The sequence below is a fragment of the Homo sapiens genome, chromosome X (assembly GCF_000001405.40).
Source record: "Homo sapiens chromosome X, GRCh38.p14 Primary Assembly".
Lineage (NCBI taxonomy): Eukaryota > Metazoa > Chordata > Mammalia > Primates > Hominidae > Homo > Homo sapiens.
Window position 1 is genome coordinate 110670966 of NC_000023.11, and position 19162 is coordinate 110690127.

General features: G+C 40.7%; 1 protein-coding gene across 12 annotated transcripts in view; it reads right to left on the minus strand.

The window, feature by feature from the left end:
* Positions 2891–19162, minus strand: part of CHRDL1 (chordin like 1) — a 121962-nt gene continuing 105690 nt past the window's right edge. For 6 of the 12 annotated variants that reach the window (NR_159734.1, NM_001143983.3, NM_001143982.2 and 3 more), the window contains 4 exons: positions 17629–17838; positions 10517–10684; positions 8371–8460; positions 2891–5396 (listed from right to left, as the gene is read on the minus strand). Coding sequence is in view for 11 of the 12 variants with exons in the window: in NM_001143983.3 (NP_001137455.2) it covers positions 5266–5396; positions 8371–8460; positions 10517–10684; positions 17629–17838 (599 nt within the window). In the remaining variant the exon portion in view is untranslated. The remainder of the gene's footprint in view (positions 5397–8370; positions 8461–10516; positions 10685–17628; positions 17839–19162) is intronic. The other 6 variants (NM_001367207.1, NM_001367206.1, NM_001367205.1 and 3 more) reach the window with 4 other exon arrangements.

A 19162-nucleotide genomic window follows, 5' to 3' on the forward strand; every position in this document is an offset into this window, starting at 1 on the left:
AAAGAGCCCCTACCAGGAATAGCACAGTTGGCAGCAGTGGTGATATGTGTAGCCATACAGGCAGTCAATGGACTTTTTTTTTTTTTTTCTAGCAGAGCCCATCATGGAAGTAGGTGTTGGGGAGGAAAAACTTTTCCTCTACTCTCTTAGGTTCAGTAACTAGGAGCCTGTGGATTAAACTAACAAAACACAGATTAATAGAAGGGAAGGCACACAATTTTTGTTAATATTTACATGTACAGAAATTCATAAAAAGGAAGTGAAACTCAAGTGGTTACACTTGGGGCCTTTACATCCTTTTAACAAAGGAAAGGTTTGGGATTCAAGGGAGGATAAAATGTAGGAAAGTGACTAGAAAATATACAGGGGAACTAATGGAGGGTAAGGGCTAGTTTGGTAAGGTTGGTGTCTTAGTCTGTGTTGCTATAAAGGAATACCTAAGGTTGGGTAATTTATAAAGAAAAGAGGTTGATTTGGTTCATGGTTATGCAGGCTGTACAAAAAACATGGCACCAGCAACCGTTTCTGGTGAGGGCTTCCAGTAGCTTCCACTCATGGTGGAAGAAGGGAAGCTGGCGTGTGCAGATTACATGGTGAAACAGGAAGCAAGAGACAGAGGAGGAGAGGCCAGGCTTTTTAACTACCAGTTCTCGAAGGAACCAAGAGTGAGAACTCACTCATTACCACAAGGACAGCACCAAGCCATTTATGAGTCATCTGTTCCATCACCCAAACACCTCCCATTAGGTCCCACTTCCAACACTGGGGATCAAATTTCAACATGAGACTTGGTGAGGCCAAACCATATCCAAACCATAGCAGTCTGTTTCTGCAAACTCTTCTTGTTGTTGACTTCCAATCTTCAATGATTAGAGTCACTCTTCTCTCCCTGGTATGAATGGGGGTGTATTAGTCCATTCTTGCACTGCCATAAAGATATACATGAAACTAGGTAATTTATATTCAAAAAAAGAGGTTTAATTGGCATATGGTTCCACAGGCTGTACAGAAAGCATGATGGCTTCTGGGGAGGTCTCAGGAAACTTACAATCATGGTAGAAGGCAAAAGAGAAGCAGGCATCTCTTCCATGACCACAGCAGGAGGAACAGACAGAGGAGGGGGGGGGGGCTACACACTTTTAAACAACCAGATATCATGAGAAGTCATTCACTATCACAAGAACAGCAAGGAGGAAATCTGTCCCCAAGATCCAATCATTTCCCACCAGGCCCCTCCTCCAACATTGGGGATTACAATTCGACATGAGATTTGGGTGGGGACACAAACCCAAACCATATTAGGGGAGCACCTTTCTCAAAGGGAAATTCATCCCCCTGCTTTTAGGCAGATAAGGGGAAGGCAGAGAACTGTTTCTACATCTGTTGGTTCTCAATTTCCTGCAGGTCAAAATAATCCTTCTGCCAAAGTGTCACATTTTGGGGTGTCATATTCTGATCTTCTTCAAGGGTCAAAGCAAGAAAGGAATGAAAGGGTGGTAACATGTGGTAACAGACAGGACTTGTCAGTGCTTCCTGGGAATCACAGTGGGGGCAGATAAGTGGAGACTATAGGGAAGAAAAACCTGTAAACATTTTCTACATCTAGGAGACCAAATTGACAGGACTGGGTGAAATTCTGATGTGGCTAAGCAGAGAAAGAGGGCCAAGCTCTCTGGTTTGAGTTATTTGCAGTTTCCTCAATGGAGGTGGAGCAATACTGGGATCTATAGCCCAAAGTTCCAGAAGAAAGTGTGCTGGGTGTAAAGAGGGACTACGCGTAGCTCAGCATGAGTGTTGGCAACCAGAGGCCAAAATTCCATCCAGGGTGTGGGTCAAGAATTGTTGTGAGTTCCAGGGGTGCAGCATGGAGGCATGGCTTCTTATGCATCTCACATGACAGGATAATCTCTTTTTCCTCAATATTTTCAATCCTTTCTATAGGACCCTGCCCCCCACCCAATATTCAGATATGGCCAAAGAGCTCCCACCTTTAAGACAAAATGGCTTTCCTTTGACCTCATATCCTTCTCCAGCTCCTTCCTTCACCATATCTCTCCAGACTCTGCAGTAGAACTTTTCTAAACAGTTGTCTTTAGCTGCTGTCTCCAATTCCTCATCTCCCCACACACTTCTTACAGTCCACTCCCATGTGGTTTCTGTTCCAATCACTACACCAACACTTTTCTTCTGTGTTGCTAACACCAATGTATACTTTTCTGTCTCTATATTATTTGACATCTCAGCAGGACATGACACGTTTGACTACTCTCTTGAAGCACTCTCATATTTTGGCTTCTGTGATAGCACAAATTTAGCTAGTATTGGGTGCTTGAGGGAATTTGGTTTGGATCAACATATGTGACAAAACTCTTACTCTGATCCCTATACAAATGCCTGTAAAAAAATAATGTGAGCAGCAGACCAAAATTGAGGCCACATTGAAACCTTCTGTACCCAATGGCCTTCTGTACCCAATCTCTTAAGTATCTTGACCTAAAGGGAGGTCAGAAAACAATAGCCATTTTCAGTGCCACGACATCCATGAATGTCCATGGTCATAAATGAATACTTACTATGCGCCAGACACTATTCTAATCACTTTATATGCAATGACTAAATTAAAACTCACTGCAAGATTGCAGGCAAAGGGAAATAATATCACTGTTATTCCATTTTATAGTTGGAAAGACTGACAAATACGGCTGGTAAGTACAGAGCTGGGCTTAAAAATCTAAATAGTCTGACTGCAAAGTTCACACTCTTAACCACCATGCTATAGTATAAGAATGTCAAGGTTATTGTGAAACCACCGCACCCATCCATGACTTGTTACCCTGTCCAAGGTCAGCACTGACCAGAGAGTCAATTACTTATGCAACAAGACTACAGATGATTTTTCAAAATTAACTTTTTTATTAATTTAAAAATCCAGAAATACAGTGACTACATAAATAAGTACCATAATTAGGTACATGTCCTGTGAGAACAGTGAAAGGGTAATACTGTTATGTTACTCTTACTTGTTTACATGAGTTAACTAGAAAATGGCTACAACTGCTAAATGATGCTTATGGTCTTTGTTGTTCCAAGTGTTTATGATACAAATAAATACACAAGAAGAACCACATCCATTCTTCTCTACTAACTACAGGCAGCTTGGCCTCTTTACCCTATGTCCTATTCTCTACACAACACCAAACACTGGAGGGTTTCTACTTTGACTTAACACAGCTCCCCAGCTCCTGCTTCCCACAGCATTTTGCAAAGGTGTGTCCCAGCACCTGGAGGCAGGAGTATATCTAGGGAAACTCTCTGCGTGTTCTCTTAAGGCTAAGCTTTCAGAGAACACCTGGGTGGGAAGGCTTTGGGATGAATCATCCAGAAGGAGAAACACCTCTTTGCCTTAGGATCTAGTTACTAGTCTCCACATTATGGAATCACTGCCACCTCTGGGACGGAGGGAGCAGCCGCATAACACCTTCCCCCCTTTACCACACACACACACACACACACACACACACACACACACACACACACACAAACTAATGCTTTGTGACCTCTCAACCGGGATGTACTGCTTCTCTCTTCCAAGGAGAACGTGTGTGATGTGCTGGTGAGAGTCTTGTCCCAAGAAACCCTGGCCATAAGGCCCTTGTGTCTCTTTCATAAGAATTGACTCCTTTATGCCAGGTTGTCATAAAGACTGAACATTTTACATTTTCCCCTATTGGTATCAAACCCTCTTAGGAAAGAATTCTCTCACCTATAGTCATGGAATGAGACATATGGGGTTTCTGGGTCCTTAAAACATTTCTACAGTTCATTCCTGCCCCTCAGAGGGAACAAATCTAGAAGGCATGCCTGAGATCCTTGCTGTGAAGAATTAGGTCTTCCCACAAAGATGATTTCTAAAGCCAGACCCCAGAATGGATAGTTTATGCTCTGGTATTGGGCTGCAAGTAGACATTTTAGGAGCAGCCTTCTCTGGAATTCTTGACTAAAATATCTGCTTGATGAATAAGACAAGGATAGTAGGAAGGTTTAGGATAAAGATCTTCATCAGAATATCCACCTCCCTAAATGAACAACAATTTTCTTAACTGAAGAGTCAACATGCAGATGCTCATGAGGACCGAGCCACTTTGCAAAGTAAAAATCAACTCCTATAATTGGAGAAGAAGGAAAACTTCCCTTTTAAAGAGCTTCTAGAATTTACTAATTTAATATAATTTTTCTGACCAGACAACTATGGTCTCAAAAATATTAGTGAGTACTGATCTATTACTTGGTAAATTTTATTGATGTGAAAGCAAAAAGATGGCCTTTTTGAATTCTATCAACTTCTTTCTTCAACAATTATTTTTTCTTACATGGATTCAGTTTCTGATGATTTTACTCAATTTAACTTCTTTCTGGAAGTCCCATAGGTACAGGGGGAAAAGAAAAGTGGTATCATTAGGGAAAAATTATTACCACTTCTAAGTGAATGAATGAGGCTATGAAAGTGTTTTTATTCTTTACCCTGACTCTATTGTTGGTGACTTAAACAGCCACAAAGACCTAAGGGCAGAGCCTCTTGTTCACAGTTATTTACTCTCCTGGGCACAAAAACTTCCAAGCTACTTGGGATCCAGTCAAGGGAAAAGTAACGTAGAATCTTGGCTAGCTTTGCTTCAAATAAAGCTTTCGTTTAATGTGAGTGTGGACGTGCGTGTGTGTGTGTGTGTGTGTGTGTGTGTGTGTGTCTGTGAGAGAGGGAGGGAGAGAGAGAGAGAGAGAGAAGGAGGGAGGGAGGGAGTGAGGAGGGAGGATGGGGAGCTAATTTTTTTAAAAGAACACATGACATTCTAAAATTCAAAGGTATAATTTCATACAAGTAATTGTTCTATACTGCAGAACTCCTACTAAGCAATTCCCTTCTCTTTCTTTCACTTGAATAACTTTCTAGATAAAAACCCTGGGGTCTTGTTTGTCTTTAACCTGTAAAGAAATGTGATTCTCCAAGAAACTAGAGCAGTGTTGTGATGTTCTATCCCTCCTCCTCCCACATATAATTTAAGACTCTTCTAGTCTCTTTGGAGGAGATGTTCAAGGGCTGACACACCACTCCACACAAAGGAGCAAATTATGCTGTGCATGGCGTGAATAATTGACTGCATTTGAGTTTGGAGTTTTAGGGCACTGTTGACTTAAGCAAAATAAGCCTGCAGTCCAGCTGCAGCTTGAGTTTTCTTGCTTTACCCTATCCAATACTGTCTGTCTTGCCTAACAGTGGCCCTTTTCAGATCTCTCCAGGTACAAAACCTTGACTAAATCTTCAAGCTCTGTTCTGCATACACGACTTGAACACATCTGGCTGATCTGAGCTTCTCCTTCGGTGAAGATCTTCCACTGGCCTAAAAGGCAAACAAACGCAAAGTGGCCGGGAGTGTGTAAGAGGAAAGCAGAGCAAATTAGGAATAGAACCAATATACCCCATGCTTACCCACTTACTCATGGACCTACCAGGGAATTTGGAATACAAATATCACTTGGTTTCAAAAAATGGCCCCAAAACACTTTTCTAGTAGCAGATATGGAAAATGGGAAATGAAGTTTTCATTTCAACACATAGCATTTGTAAGAATCCCAAGAATAATATAGAACTGCCCCTCCTCAAGAGCAAAACCTAAGTGTTATTCTTGGAATTTTTACAGTATATTTAGCATTTACAAAATGCTTCAATATCTGCTTGTTAGCTATTTAGGCAGCTTACTTGGCACCAGGTCAAAAAGGCACTTTGGAAAACGGCACCTACTGTATTACTGGGGCTTTGCTTACCCTTAGGGTCCCCAAATATTGGTTTGGGTTACTTGATTACTATTTGATTATATATCACTCTTTCCTCTATTCCTGCTATCTTTTGTTAAAAACTTCTCGACGTTGCTTTCTCCTACGTCCACATGCTGTCCTTATACCCCCTTAGCACCCTAAATCCCTTCCCATGGTTCCTCATCCATTCTCATATACCCCATGGAATCCCTTTCCACGCAGAGTAAACTTGGCTGTAGCCCTTCCATCCCCTGTTGTCTCTGCCCACCCTGGATACTGTGTTTTGTCTTCTTTTTATTCCTGTGCTCATGGTACTGCAACCTGGAGAACTCCTAGTCCAAGTTAAGCCAACTCCTCTTAAGCCCAAACCTGTCTTGAACCTCTTTTTCTTTTCCTTAGCCACAAGAGAATAATGACCCACCTTCCCTATGGGCCTGATTTCTCTGCTCCTTTCTCCCTTGGATTTCTCCCTTTTCCCCATTCTCTATGACTCAATGGGAAGATAGAAGGAAAAACAAAAAAACAAGAAGAGGATTTGGGCAAGGAACCAGCTATTACTGAAGCCCTATAATGTGCTGGGCTCTGCTAGGCACATTATATAAAAGAGTTGGGTTTGTTCTTCTTTGCTCCTAGGTGACCCTGTAGGATCATACCAACTTCTTTCAGCTACACACAGTTTGAGGCACATACCTTCTACTCCATTATATACCCCAAATCCTGCCATGGGCACAGAGTATATCTAAATCATCTTTTAAGTCCCCTGGAACCTAGAACAAAGCCTTGTTCACAGTATGAACTAAAACATGTAACTTCAGAAGTCCCATAATTGATCCTAGGATCTTACACTCTGCCTCCTTTCTTACTCACATGTAAGGACTCCCAACTTTTCCATTTGAATTCTCATACTGTCCTGTTATTTTCTATGAGTCCTGCCAAAGACAAGCAACTGACTGCCTTGGCTCTTTTTCTAGCTGCCTATTGGACCCTAACTCTGCTCAGATGGCTCTTAAGCATATTAATTTAAACATGTTCCAAGTGAAACTCTTTTTCACCAATACCTGCTTATTCTTCACAGTTTCCCTGTTGGTGAATGGTATTACTATTCACCCAGTCGAGTTATTAATATCGGACCCATTCCAAACTCGTTTCTCTCTTTGATGCTGATCTTGTTGATTTAACCTCAGAAATGTTTCTCACAGTGACGTCTCCTCCCGTCTCATTGATTTAATATAGTATAATTAGTTCCTAATTCAGACTATCCCACTTCTCTTAATAAGGGTCCACCTTTCACTCCACACAGCGAGGACCTCTTTCTAAAAAAATAAAAAAATAAATAAAGCAGATCTGAATGCACCATTCACTTGCTTAAAAACCTCCACTGGCATTCTCTGGCCTGGAGATCAAGTCCAATGTCCTAGCATGATAAATTGGGCACTTCATAATCTGGCTTCGTCAAAGTGTGTGCTTAATGTAATATATGCATCTGATAGCCGAAAGACATCTTTCCAAAGCACCATGTTGATATCTCTATGCTATTTGCAGCAACTACAGATGCTACTTGCCTTACATTTGAACATTTTACTGGCTTTTTTTCAGGCCCTATGACTACTTTCTACCTCCAAATCTTCTAATCTTTTAGTGCACCTTCTGTGGCCTTTGTGATCATTCCTCTCCCCTACCCACATTTCCTGTTTGCTCCTGTCTGAGTCTTCTCTTAGGCTGCACTCTTTTCCTGGACTGATTTCCTGACCCATTGCCCAGTCATACCCTTCTCTTTCAAAACACACCTCCTCCCCGAAGCCTTCCCCGACTAAGCCCACCTGGCTCTCATCTCATTGTTCTTTGCAGATTCCCCTGAGCACTTTGATATTTAACTCCTCAGAACTATACTAATTCATACTGAAGTCATTTTCATGTTCTGTCTCATCCATTATAATTCCCTGTGGATAGAAACTGTGTGCCTTTTATCCCATTAGAAGTGCTCAACACCCGCCCCAATGCCTAGAAGTATCTTAGTCCCTAGGCTCCATCTAGTGTGGAAAGTGGGAGAGCTGCAAGTGTTTTTGAGTGCCTGAATGCTTTTAAGGAAACATGACCACCCAGGGGCAGTTCCCCAGGAGTAAAAGTGCTTTCATATAACACAGGAATTGATATGCCTTTAATTTCTCTTTGCCTCTCATACCCACCACCAGAGGATACACCCTTCCAGATGTGAAGTCTCCATAAATATACCAGACCTGGAATCTTATGAGCTTTCTCCAACCCTCTTGAGACTCTGTGCTTAGCAGTTTCATTAAAGACATTCAGGAAGCCTTGACCTGAGGTATCCTATGCTCAGACTACATCTGGGTTTGTATTCACCATGTCCAAGCTCTTCAGATTACATTCAGACACCCCATTCACTGCTAAGTCACCCAGAAGAGAGATGGAACATCCTTTAGTGTTGATACTGAGCAGTGCTAATGTTCACTGAGATTGCGGAGGGACTTTAGCTGTGGCTATGCTAAATTGAAAACTGAATGTGTTTTTCAGGGAGCAGTCAAGAGAAGTACTACTTACTCAGGGTTGTTCTGGTCACCAGCTTGAAGTGAGGAAGCTCCTCAAACATCCTCTTGGAGATCTTCTCAATATGGAAGTGCTGGAGAATGCCTAGGGCCAAGCAAAAAGTGGAGCAAATGGTCAGGCACTCAATCTGGAACCATCAACTCCTTTTTTTCTGCTCAGGCTCAGCATATCATTTCATTACTAGGGCTTAAGAGTATCGAGTTGGGCTGTGTAATGTGCTTAACCAGGAACTTGGATGGCTCAAGGGTTATAATTGACTCCATTTGTTTCCTTGGCTTACTGGCTTCCCCTCGGCTTCTCCAGTGGATGGAGATAAGGGAGATAGTGCTGCTGACCATGGGACTCTCTCCTAGGGAAAGCCACATGGAATCTAGCATAAGTGCTTACTGGAGCTTCTGCAGCCATAGGCAGTATTAGAAATTCTGCACTTGCCCCCAACCTGGATAGACTGTGTCCATGCCAAACCGCTGGGCTGCCCTCCTGGCTAAGCACTGAGAGCCTGCAGTGGGATTGCAGGCAGGTTGGTTTTGTAAATGGAGAAGCCACCCTTGTTCTTGAACTCACTGAAAAGCATATTTTCCTTTGGGAAATATTCACAGATCCTTTAGCCTTCCTTATTCATAAATGGGGAGAGTTAAAATAGAGTGCTCTCCACAGTCTCAACCTTGCCTGAATAGCTTTTATCACAATAACAGGTAGACAACTGACAACTGCCTTATACTGAAGGAGCAACATATTACCAGCCCACTTAAATGGGCGAAGTAGATTAAGCCTCTTTTTCTGTGTCCACCAAGCATAGACCTTGATAACCCAGAACTGTGAACAAGAGGATATTTAGACGCTACATTAGCAAGTTGAAATTCATCTGCACACCTCTGAGAGGCGAAAGATGTGGGATGACGAATAGTGGGCCCACTGCTGGGGAAACGCAACAAACCAGTGCCTAGTCCTAGGTGTCCTGTTATGGATGAGCTAGGGAGTTAAAGATGGCAAATCAACACTCCAAGGCATAGACCAAAAATAAGCATGAGTGAATATATACATGTTCAAGCATCTTTTTTTTAGGGAGAAATGCATTCTTTAGATAAAGGCTGTTGTCTAAAGGGAGAGAAAAAAAGCCTCATAAATACTGAGCAGTCTTTTTCAAAGCATGGTCCAAGTGCCACCTGCATTAGAATCATCTGGCTATTTGTTAAACACTCAAATGTTTGGACTCTACCCAAGGTCTACTGAATTCCTATCTCTGGGATGGGGCCAGGTATCTGCATTTAAAACCAGCTCCCTGTGTAATGGTGATGCATACAGAAGTTCGAGTACTCTTGAGCCTTATGTGAGAGCCAATAGCAAAAAGATGTGTATATTTTCCAGCTGAAATCTCACTTATCCACTTGGATTGTGAGGAACCTTGACCACACTAAATAAGCACTAGTCTTGAGCCTACAAAAAGTTAGAAGAGCTGTAGGATCACAATGAACAGAATGTGGCTTGCTGTGGTAGTCACTGTGAGTAATCAGAAAAGGAATTGAACATTGTGACTGGGGTTTCTCCAGTAAGACTATAACCTTCTTGAGGGCAGGGATGATGTTTTAAATTTGTTTTACCCCAGAAGACACATCGTGATATTAGGGACTTAGCTTTGCCCTGAATGAATGGGTTTTCATGGTTGTTGAGCTTTATTCTGGAAAGAATGACAGACTACAGTTTGACAGTTTGTAATCCTGGCTACATATTACAATCACCTGAGAAGCATTATGAACAAACACTGATGCCCATGCCCCACTCCAGACCAACTAATCAGAATCTCTGGGGGTAGGGCCCAGATATTTGGTATTTAAAGGAAACCAAAACTCTCCCTGATGATTCTGATGGGCAGCCAGGGTTGAGAACCGCTTCTCCAGCTTTTGGTGGTGTGAAATAGGCAGCTTTGGAAACCCAAGGGTCAGTACTTGATCTTTAGCACAGGCCATCGTTAAATTTGAAAGGCCATAATGACAATAGTGTTAGATATGTCAGTTTCTAAGCAATCAAAAAGAACTTTTAATCCAAATGAGGGAACAGGTTGAAGCAAAATTAAAGTGAGTCCTCTCATCCTTTTCTGTGCCCCCTTACAAAGATGAGAAATTAATGTTGTCTTGCTCACCCTTTCGAATAGTCCAAACGTGGACCTCTACCTGAGGTGGTCTCTCAGTCTCCAGTGCTATTTTTCTGGTTGTCTCCCCATCCTCCATGAATACAGACTCATACACAGGCATCGTTTCTTCCCCGCAGAAGTAGCCTTTATTGTCAAAGCTTTGGCCTGGAAGTTCTTCTGGAATCAGGAAGCAAGTAGAATTTTGTCATGGTTTTCTAAAGCTAGAAGTGAACTTCTGCATTTATGTATCTCATTGTTCATAACATCTCACACTTATCAAAAGTGGACAATTAACAAGAACATTCTTCGAGAGACAGAAATTCCACCCATACTTCATTAGCCCAGCTTAGGCTGCCACTGCAACAAGCCACAGATTAAGCCACAAATCACAAAGGAGCACGTAACTTTGATTGAAGTCCATGTGTTGACAGAATCCATAGTTCTTCGGAACACTAGACCCCTACTACTGTCACTGAGAAGTGGACTTTCATGAGGAAAAATGTAGCCAGGTACAAATCTCCTAGGCACTTAAGAGAACATAGGAATTTCCATACAGGGTCAGGATCATGCTCTGTCCAGCTCAGTGTTGCCAGGAGAGGCCCAGGGAATGGGCTGAAAAAGGGCCTTGGTTAACATCCCCTGACATCATTTTGGTATACTTAGAAAACATTCATGACACTCATTTATGTGCATATACTTGCCCAAAGGATCCATCCAAATTGGCTTGACATTTCTGAATGCTCTTTGATTTGTTTGTAAGGGGAACAATAATACCGGATCAGCACCAGTGCCAAAATCTAGATGTCAGATTAGCCATATGTATGCTATGCCAAATGAATGGTTGGGAGACACAAAAAATTGGTCAAGTCCCTCAGCGATGGATCATTTAATGTGTAAACTAAACTGTTGAATTTCAGCTCGCAGGCATAAAGGCACAAGCTCTACATTTCACTCCACCCTCCCTCCTCTTTCCTCAGTCCCCTGTTTTAAAAAGTTTCTTCTTGTTGGTTATCAGTGAGTTAAGTTTGCTTGCTGGCCTTGTAATCAGTACTCTCTTGAACTGCGTACTTAAAGCATACACTCAAATCAGAACAACAGAAGCCATCTGTAAGAATATCTGAATTGTTGAGGATGAAACCACTGAGTGTTGAGTGCTTTGGATCTGTGACTCTAATTAGGGAGACTCACTGTTAGCCAATCAGACACATTTGGACTAGAAGTTGTAATCAAATTGCTATTGTATGTCTCTTGGTAACCTGATTAGCTTTCCCACCCCCACCACCATTTGGCATTGTAAGGACAAAACCATAGTCTTCTCTTGATTCCAGACTGAATTACTCAATTTGTGGATTATTGTGGAATCAAGCTTTTTGTTTTCCTCCTTTTGTCCTTCTTTTTAGCTATTTATTTACTTGGTGGGCCAGTCTTTTTGGTGATAGGTAATTAAGGGCCACGTGCTAGCACTTTTTAAATGGGTTGGAGAGAGGGAAGAGGTCACTGAGTGTACAGAGACTTCTGTGTATTCAATTATCACCTTTAGAATGACAGCCAAATTCATTTCTCAAACTTTGCTCACCAGCTTAATATTGGCTACAGCTATAGCTGACATGAAATCCATGATGGCACTGGCAGTACCTGTAATATGCTAAAAGTTCTTCCAGTAGCCTGAAGAGTCATCTTGCACCACTACCTCCTTCCCTACAAGAGCTTAATTTACTTGACCGAAGGGATCTACAAACAACAAAACTCATTATTGACTTAACTCTGGCTGGTACTTGAAAATGCTAAGAAAAGCAAAGTTTGTCTTTAGAACTACCTACTTAGCAACATCCGCCGTTTTTCACACTCTGCACTTCAAGGTGCTTTCTGATCACTATAGTTCACCTACTCTCATTTTCTTTTGGGGAAGACAATGTGCTTGATGTCATTTCTGGCCATTTCCACAGCCCAAGAGAATGTTCCCATCCTGAGCCTTCCAGAATTCCTTGCAGAAGTGGTAATGAAGGAGAAGTATTATTCCAGCTGGGACAACTTTTAAGTCTTAATAGGGACTTTTAATGCCATAACCTAAAAGGAGTATGTAATTATGGAAATTCAAGGTATTGGGATGGTATTGTGGTTGTATGTACAGTAAATGCTCATGATAGCAATAACTTAAGTGTACCCTTAGAATGACCCTGTATGGCAGACGTATCTGAATGTGTGTTCTGAGCTTGGGAATCCAGGCGTGGCCAACTGGGAGATTATTTCCTTGTCTGTGAGGACCATCTGAACCCCAGGCTCATCCCTGGGGCTGCACAGGGGATAGAGGCCTTGAGTTTTGGGTTAGATGAAGGTTGCCAGGTCGTTAAGGGGAGAGTGTTCAGTGAAAATGCTATATAAACTGCATGATGTTTGCAAGTGGTTGCAGTTTTCCTGCCCAACCTGCTGCCACTGGACTGTTTCTATATGTAAGGTGGTTCTCCTGTCCAGCCCACCTCCACTGGACTCTCTCCCCTGTATGTCAGCCCCTAATAAAACCCCATGTCTTGTTTGCTGGCTCTGGATCTTTTCTTCGGCCTCTTAAATCTGGTGCCTTCCCTACTGAGGTTAATAGGAGTTTGGCACGACAGTGTGAGAAGTGAGTTGGGGAATCTTCAGGAAGTGGACATCTTACCCAACCCTGTAGGTGGCCATTGATATGCAAAGCAAGGTCAGCCTCTACCAGAGCAAAGGGAAGAGAGAGATGAAACTCACATCTTTAATATTGGTCCTAGTTTGTTATTGTAGGAGGCTGCAATCACTTGTTACAATGAAACTTTTGGCTGGATTATCAGTGAATTTTATTTATCTCTTTTCCCTTTTCAACATAACTGAATTTACCATTCTTTCTTCCTTCCATCTACTTCTCTCCTCACTGCCTTGTTCCTTTTCTTCTGTGTCATGTGTCATTTTTTAAGAGGCCAGTAATGTCATGATCATCCCATTTCTCACCCCTTCACGTCATTCAGGACTCTATTCAAATATCTTTAGAGAAGCCTTCCCTGACTACTCCTTTAAAAGTGCTTCCTGCCCCATTCACTCTCTCTTGATCCTGTTTGGTTTTTCTTCACAGCACTCATCACAATCTAAAATTACCTTATTGATTTGGGTTCACTGTCTTTCTTTTCTGCTAGAATGTAAAGAGCATGCTGGCAAGTAGCCTTTGTCTTGTTCACATCTCTGTCCTCAGTGCATGTAACCGTGTCTTGCACACAGTAGGTACTTAAAACAAATTTCCAGATTGAATGCATGAGCAAGTGCATGCCTCCTGATGCTCTGCAGTTGCAGAGTACCTGGAGCAGGTGCCCTTGGCTATGTGGCTATTGACTCTCAGGCAATGTGACTAAGGAGTGATTCAACATGCAGACACCCATGTCTGGCTCACTGAGAGGCAGATACACAGAATGAGACAGAAATTCTCTTCTTCCATGTTGCTCAATCAATCGTCTATCTCCACAAACTTGAGCAGAGTGGGAAAGTGGGAAAAGCAGCTCTTCCAGAAAAATCGGTTTAATCATTCAGACTTCAATATACTGCCAACTGGGATACTGGAGGGCAGTTTTTTACATGATAAATTTTATTATGTTTTCTAAATACAAAAGTAACACATATTTACTATAGAAAATTTGGAAAATACAAATAAATAAATAAGAAAATAAGAGTTACCCATAATTCAGTCACAAGAAAATGGTCACTGTTAACATTTTGCCGTATGCTCCTCCAGTCTTTTTGTTTCTTTTTTTTGTCTTAGCATATATAAACACTTTCTTTCTTTCTTTTTTTGAGACAGGGTCTGGCTGTTGCCCAGGCCAGAGTGCAATGGCGCGATCTTGGCTCACTGCAACCTCCACCTCCCGGGCTCAACCCATCCTCCCACCTCAGCCTCCCAAGTAGGAGTAGTTGGGACTATGGGCACATGCCACCACACCTGGCTAATTTTTGTATTTTTGGTAGAGACATGGTTTTGCCATGTTGTCCAGGCTGGTCTTGAACTCCTGGGCTCAAGCAATCTGTCCGCCTCGGACTCCCAAAGTGCTGGGATTACAAGCATGGGCCACCGCACCTGGTCAACGCTTTCTTTTTTAACACAAAAAGTTGGATCATAATATACATATTGTTCTTTAGCTTGCTATTTTTACTTAACAAATACATTGCAAACATCTTTCTCTGCCATTCAATCTTGGTCTATAATGAGTTTTAATGGCTATATTAATATTCCACGGTACAGATACACCATAATTTGTTTAATCATTCCCATATTCGTGAACTTTCAGATTATTTCCAATTTTTCAGTATTGTAAACAGCATTGCAGCAAAAATTCTTATTTGTATATCTTTGTGCATGTCTGTGGTTACTTTCTTAGGATTCCTAGAAGTGGAATTTTTTAGCCAATTTTTTTTTTTTTTTTTTTTTTGAGATAGGGTCTCGCTCTGTTCCAGGCTGGAAAGTACTGGTGTGATCGTGGCTCGCTGCAGCCATTGCTCCCAGGCAATGATCCTCTCACTTCAGCCCTCAGCCTCCCAAGTAGCTGGGACTACAGGAGGTACGTGCCACCATACCTGGCTAATTTTCTTTTATTTTTGTAGAGATGGAGGTCTCATCACATTGCCCAGGCTGGTCTCAAACTCCTGGGCTCAAGAGATCTTCCTGCCTTGGCCACCCAAAATGCTGGTATTACAGGTGTGAGTCACTGCACCCGGCCACCAAATGTTTTAATAAACATTACCAACCTGAGAGGACAATTGTTTTAAAAGCAATGACTGTTGTTTGTCTTGTTCTCACAGCTTTTTGATTATTTAATTTTTTAATTGAATCATCTGCATCAATAAAATTTTAAGCACACAATGAAATAAGACTTGGTCTGAAGGCCTGAGATTCAAATTGGAATATTATACAATGAGAGGGTTTATGTTATCATGGGTAATTTGTGTAAATATTAGTTTTTGTCTGAAATTATCTTGTTGCATTACTTTTTAAACTATTAAGTGTTAGACCCCTGACAGAAGAGAAAATTGTGTTCATGAAACTACCACTATGTGATACTAAAAGGTTTGAGGATCCAGTGAGACCACAGACTTGGAAGTCATAATAGGTCATTGTTGCTGGGTGGCCCGGATGTCCATATCATCCTTAGAATGTGCTCTCTCCATTGGCCGGATACAGTGGCTCACGCTTGTAATCCCAGCACTTTGGGAGGCTGAGGCGAGTGGGTCACTTGAGCTCAGGAGTTTGAATAGCTGGGTGTGGTGGTGCGTGCCTATAGTCCCAGCTACTCGGGAGGCTGAGGCGGGAGAATAACTTGAACCGGGAGGTGGAGGTTGCAAGGTTGCAGTGAGCCGAGATCATGCCACTGCACTCCAGCCTGGGCGACAGAGCTAGACTCTGTCTCAAAAAAACAAAAAATAAAAAAAAAAATAAAAAGAATGTGTTCTCTCTGTATTCGTAATAAATACATTTTCTCATAAATTTCAATGCCCCAGTTCTCTACACCTTATCAAATAGCTCCTGTCCTTCCTGTCCACACGCTGCCCCCTGTGTACTCTGGAAGATGGGGGTTGTTACATTGAGGAAGATTTTGTGTCATAAATCAGTGCTTCTCAAGCTGTAATGTGCATTAGAATCACCTGAGGTTCTTGTTAAAATGCAGATTATGATGCAGTAGGTCTTGAGTGGGGGCCTGAGAGTCAACATTTTTAACCAGCTCCTAGCTGTTGCCAGTCCATAAACCACACTTTGAGTAGCAAGACCATAAATGACCCTGGGCCTACAGCAGTAGTTCTCAAACTTTTCTGCACACAATGTTCACCTGGGGATCTTTTAAAAATGCCACAGCCCAGGCCACACCTCAAATCAATTAAATTATAGTCTCTGGGGATGGGACACAGGTATATGTAGAAGCTCGCCAAGGGGTTCTAATGTTCAGACAAGTTTGAGTACCACTGGCCTGCAGGAAAATGCTCAATAAATACACATTGATTCAGGGCATGTTTGCCTACTAGTCATGAGGGACTAAGTTGAAGAAGTATATAATTTAGCTCTCTACCTACTTTTTAAAATGTTTGAATTTTCATCTGTGTTTATAAAAATGCTTTGCAGAAGCATAAGAAATGATAAATTCATGTGCCTGGGATTGACTAAATCATCGACTCTTCGAATGTTGGAGCTGTAAGGGCCCCCCAAAAAATCTACTCTAACCCTCTCATTCTGCAAAGAAGGAAACTGAAGCTCAGAGGGGTGAAGTGACTTGTTATAGATCACACAGGAAACCTGTGGCAAGACAGAGATAGAATGCTTGATTACCCATCCTATATTCTGTCAACCCCAATATTAGGGACTATATTTTTATTTAGCTCATGTTTTAAAAACTACCATTTAAATAATTAACTTGTCTTTTTTATCAGTCAATATTTTCTACTGGCATAGAAAAAACGATGGGCTGGAAGTGACTTGGGTTATAGGCCTTGGTTTTATGATTGATTAGTTGAATGAATCTGGGCAAGTCCTTTGATTTTTGTACTTCAATTTTCTTATCTTTAAAAAATAAATAATAATATAATTATAGGATTATAGTGTTAGAAGGGAGCTTAGAGATAATTTTTCTAAACTTTCAATTGTACAGATAAGGCTGATGAGGCTCAGAATGGATATGGCACATTTCCAAGATCACTCAACATCTTAGGCTTGGATCAGAACCTGGTCTCCTTCCACTATAACTCACCTGCCTCTCGTCCTGTCTTAAAAGGGCAATGGATGTGATTGTACTTTGATGGGTTTAATAGTGATATAAATGAAAGCTGCTACTATTCTTCCTTATCATCATGATAGCCTAAATTCTCTACTATTTAGAAAAGCATAGGTAAGTTCAACACTCAGGGATACATGAGAGGTGTGGTAGACACAAGCATATTTCTGGGTAGTAAATTTCTTCCAAGCAACTGCCTTTTCAGTCTTTCAAGAGAAGAGAGAATGAAATTCATTATTATTAGAAATATTATCATTACAATTATATGAAAGGTTATGTTTCTGATGCCTAAAGAAAGTTTAGAAAGACTAGGTGAGAATCTCAGTCAACCAAAAGCAGGGCCTCCAACCAACGCACCTTTTGCTTTTTTACCTGGACACACCTTGCAGCATTTTCCGTCTATTTTTTGAGGATACTTGCAGGGGTATCGATTGGGGCAGTGGATTTTCTTACACTCTTGCTTGGTGACATTACAAGTACATAGCACACACTCCACAATGCCAAATGCCCGGAGGTTTGGGTGCCAGGACTCGCCATGAGAATAGGTCTTTCCATTGGAAACACACACTGAAAGAGAATGCAGAATTAGCAATTAAAAGCTAAGGAGCTAAAATGGAACCCTATATTCAGAACCCAAGCCCTGAACTACTTAACATATCAAGCATCCTTTGTTCTTGTCATAGCCATGGGGCTATGTTTACCGAGTAGTATCTGTGACCAAAAAACAGCTTGGGCCATATTCTACTCTCAGGAGCTTCTCCAGATTCTTCAGCAGCAGCTTCTGGATGCTTATAAATGGCCTCAGACATAGTAGGCAGTCCATAAATATATATATGTATATATATATATATATATATATATATATATATATATATATTTTAAGACCGGATCTTGCTCTGTCACCCAGGTTGCAGTGGTGTGATTGTGGCTCACTGTAGCCTTGACTTCCCGGGCTCAGGCAATCCTTCTACATCAGCCACCCGAGTAGCTGGGACTAACATGCACCACCATGCCGTGCTTTTTTTTTTTTTTTTAATTTTTGTAGAGATGGGGTCTCCCTATGTTGCCCAGGCTGGTCTGAAACTCTAAGACTCAAGAGATCCACTTGCCTCAGCCTCCTAAAGTGCTGAGATTACAGGCATGAGCCACCGCACCCAGCCTATATATATCTATATATCTATATATATCTATATATCTATATATCTATATATATCTATATATCTATATATATCTATATATCTATATATCTATATCTCTATATATCTATATATCTATATCTCTATATATCTATCTATATATCTCTATATCTCTATATATCTATATATCTATATATATCTATATATCTATATATCTATATATCTATATATATCTATATATCTATATATCTATATATCTATATATCTATATATATCTATATATCATCTATATATCTATATATCTATATATCTATATATCTATATATCTATATATCTATATATATATCTATATATATCTATATATCTATATATATCTATATATCTATATATCTATATATATCTATATATCTATATATATCTATACATCTATATATCTATATATATCTATATATCTATATATCTATATATATCTATATATCTATATATATCTATATATCTATATATATCTATATATCTATATATCTATATATATCTATATATCTATATATATCTATATATCTATATATATCTATATATCTATATATATCTATATATCTATATATATCTATATATCTATATATATCTATATATCTATATATATCTATATATCTGTATATCTATATATATCTATATATATATATATTTTTTTTTTGAGATGGAGTCTCGCTCTGTCGCCCAGACTGGAGTGCAGTGGCGCTATCTCGGCTCACTGCAAG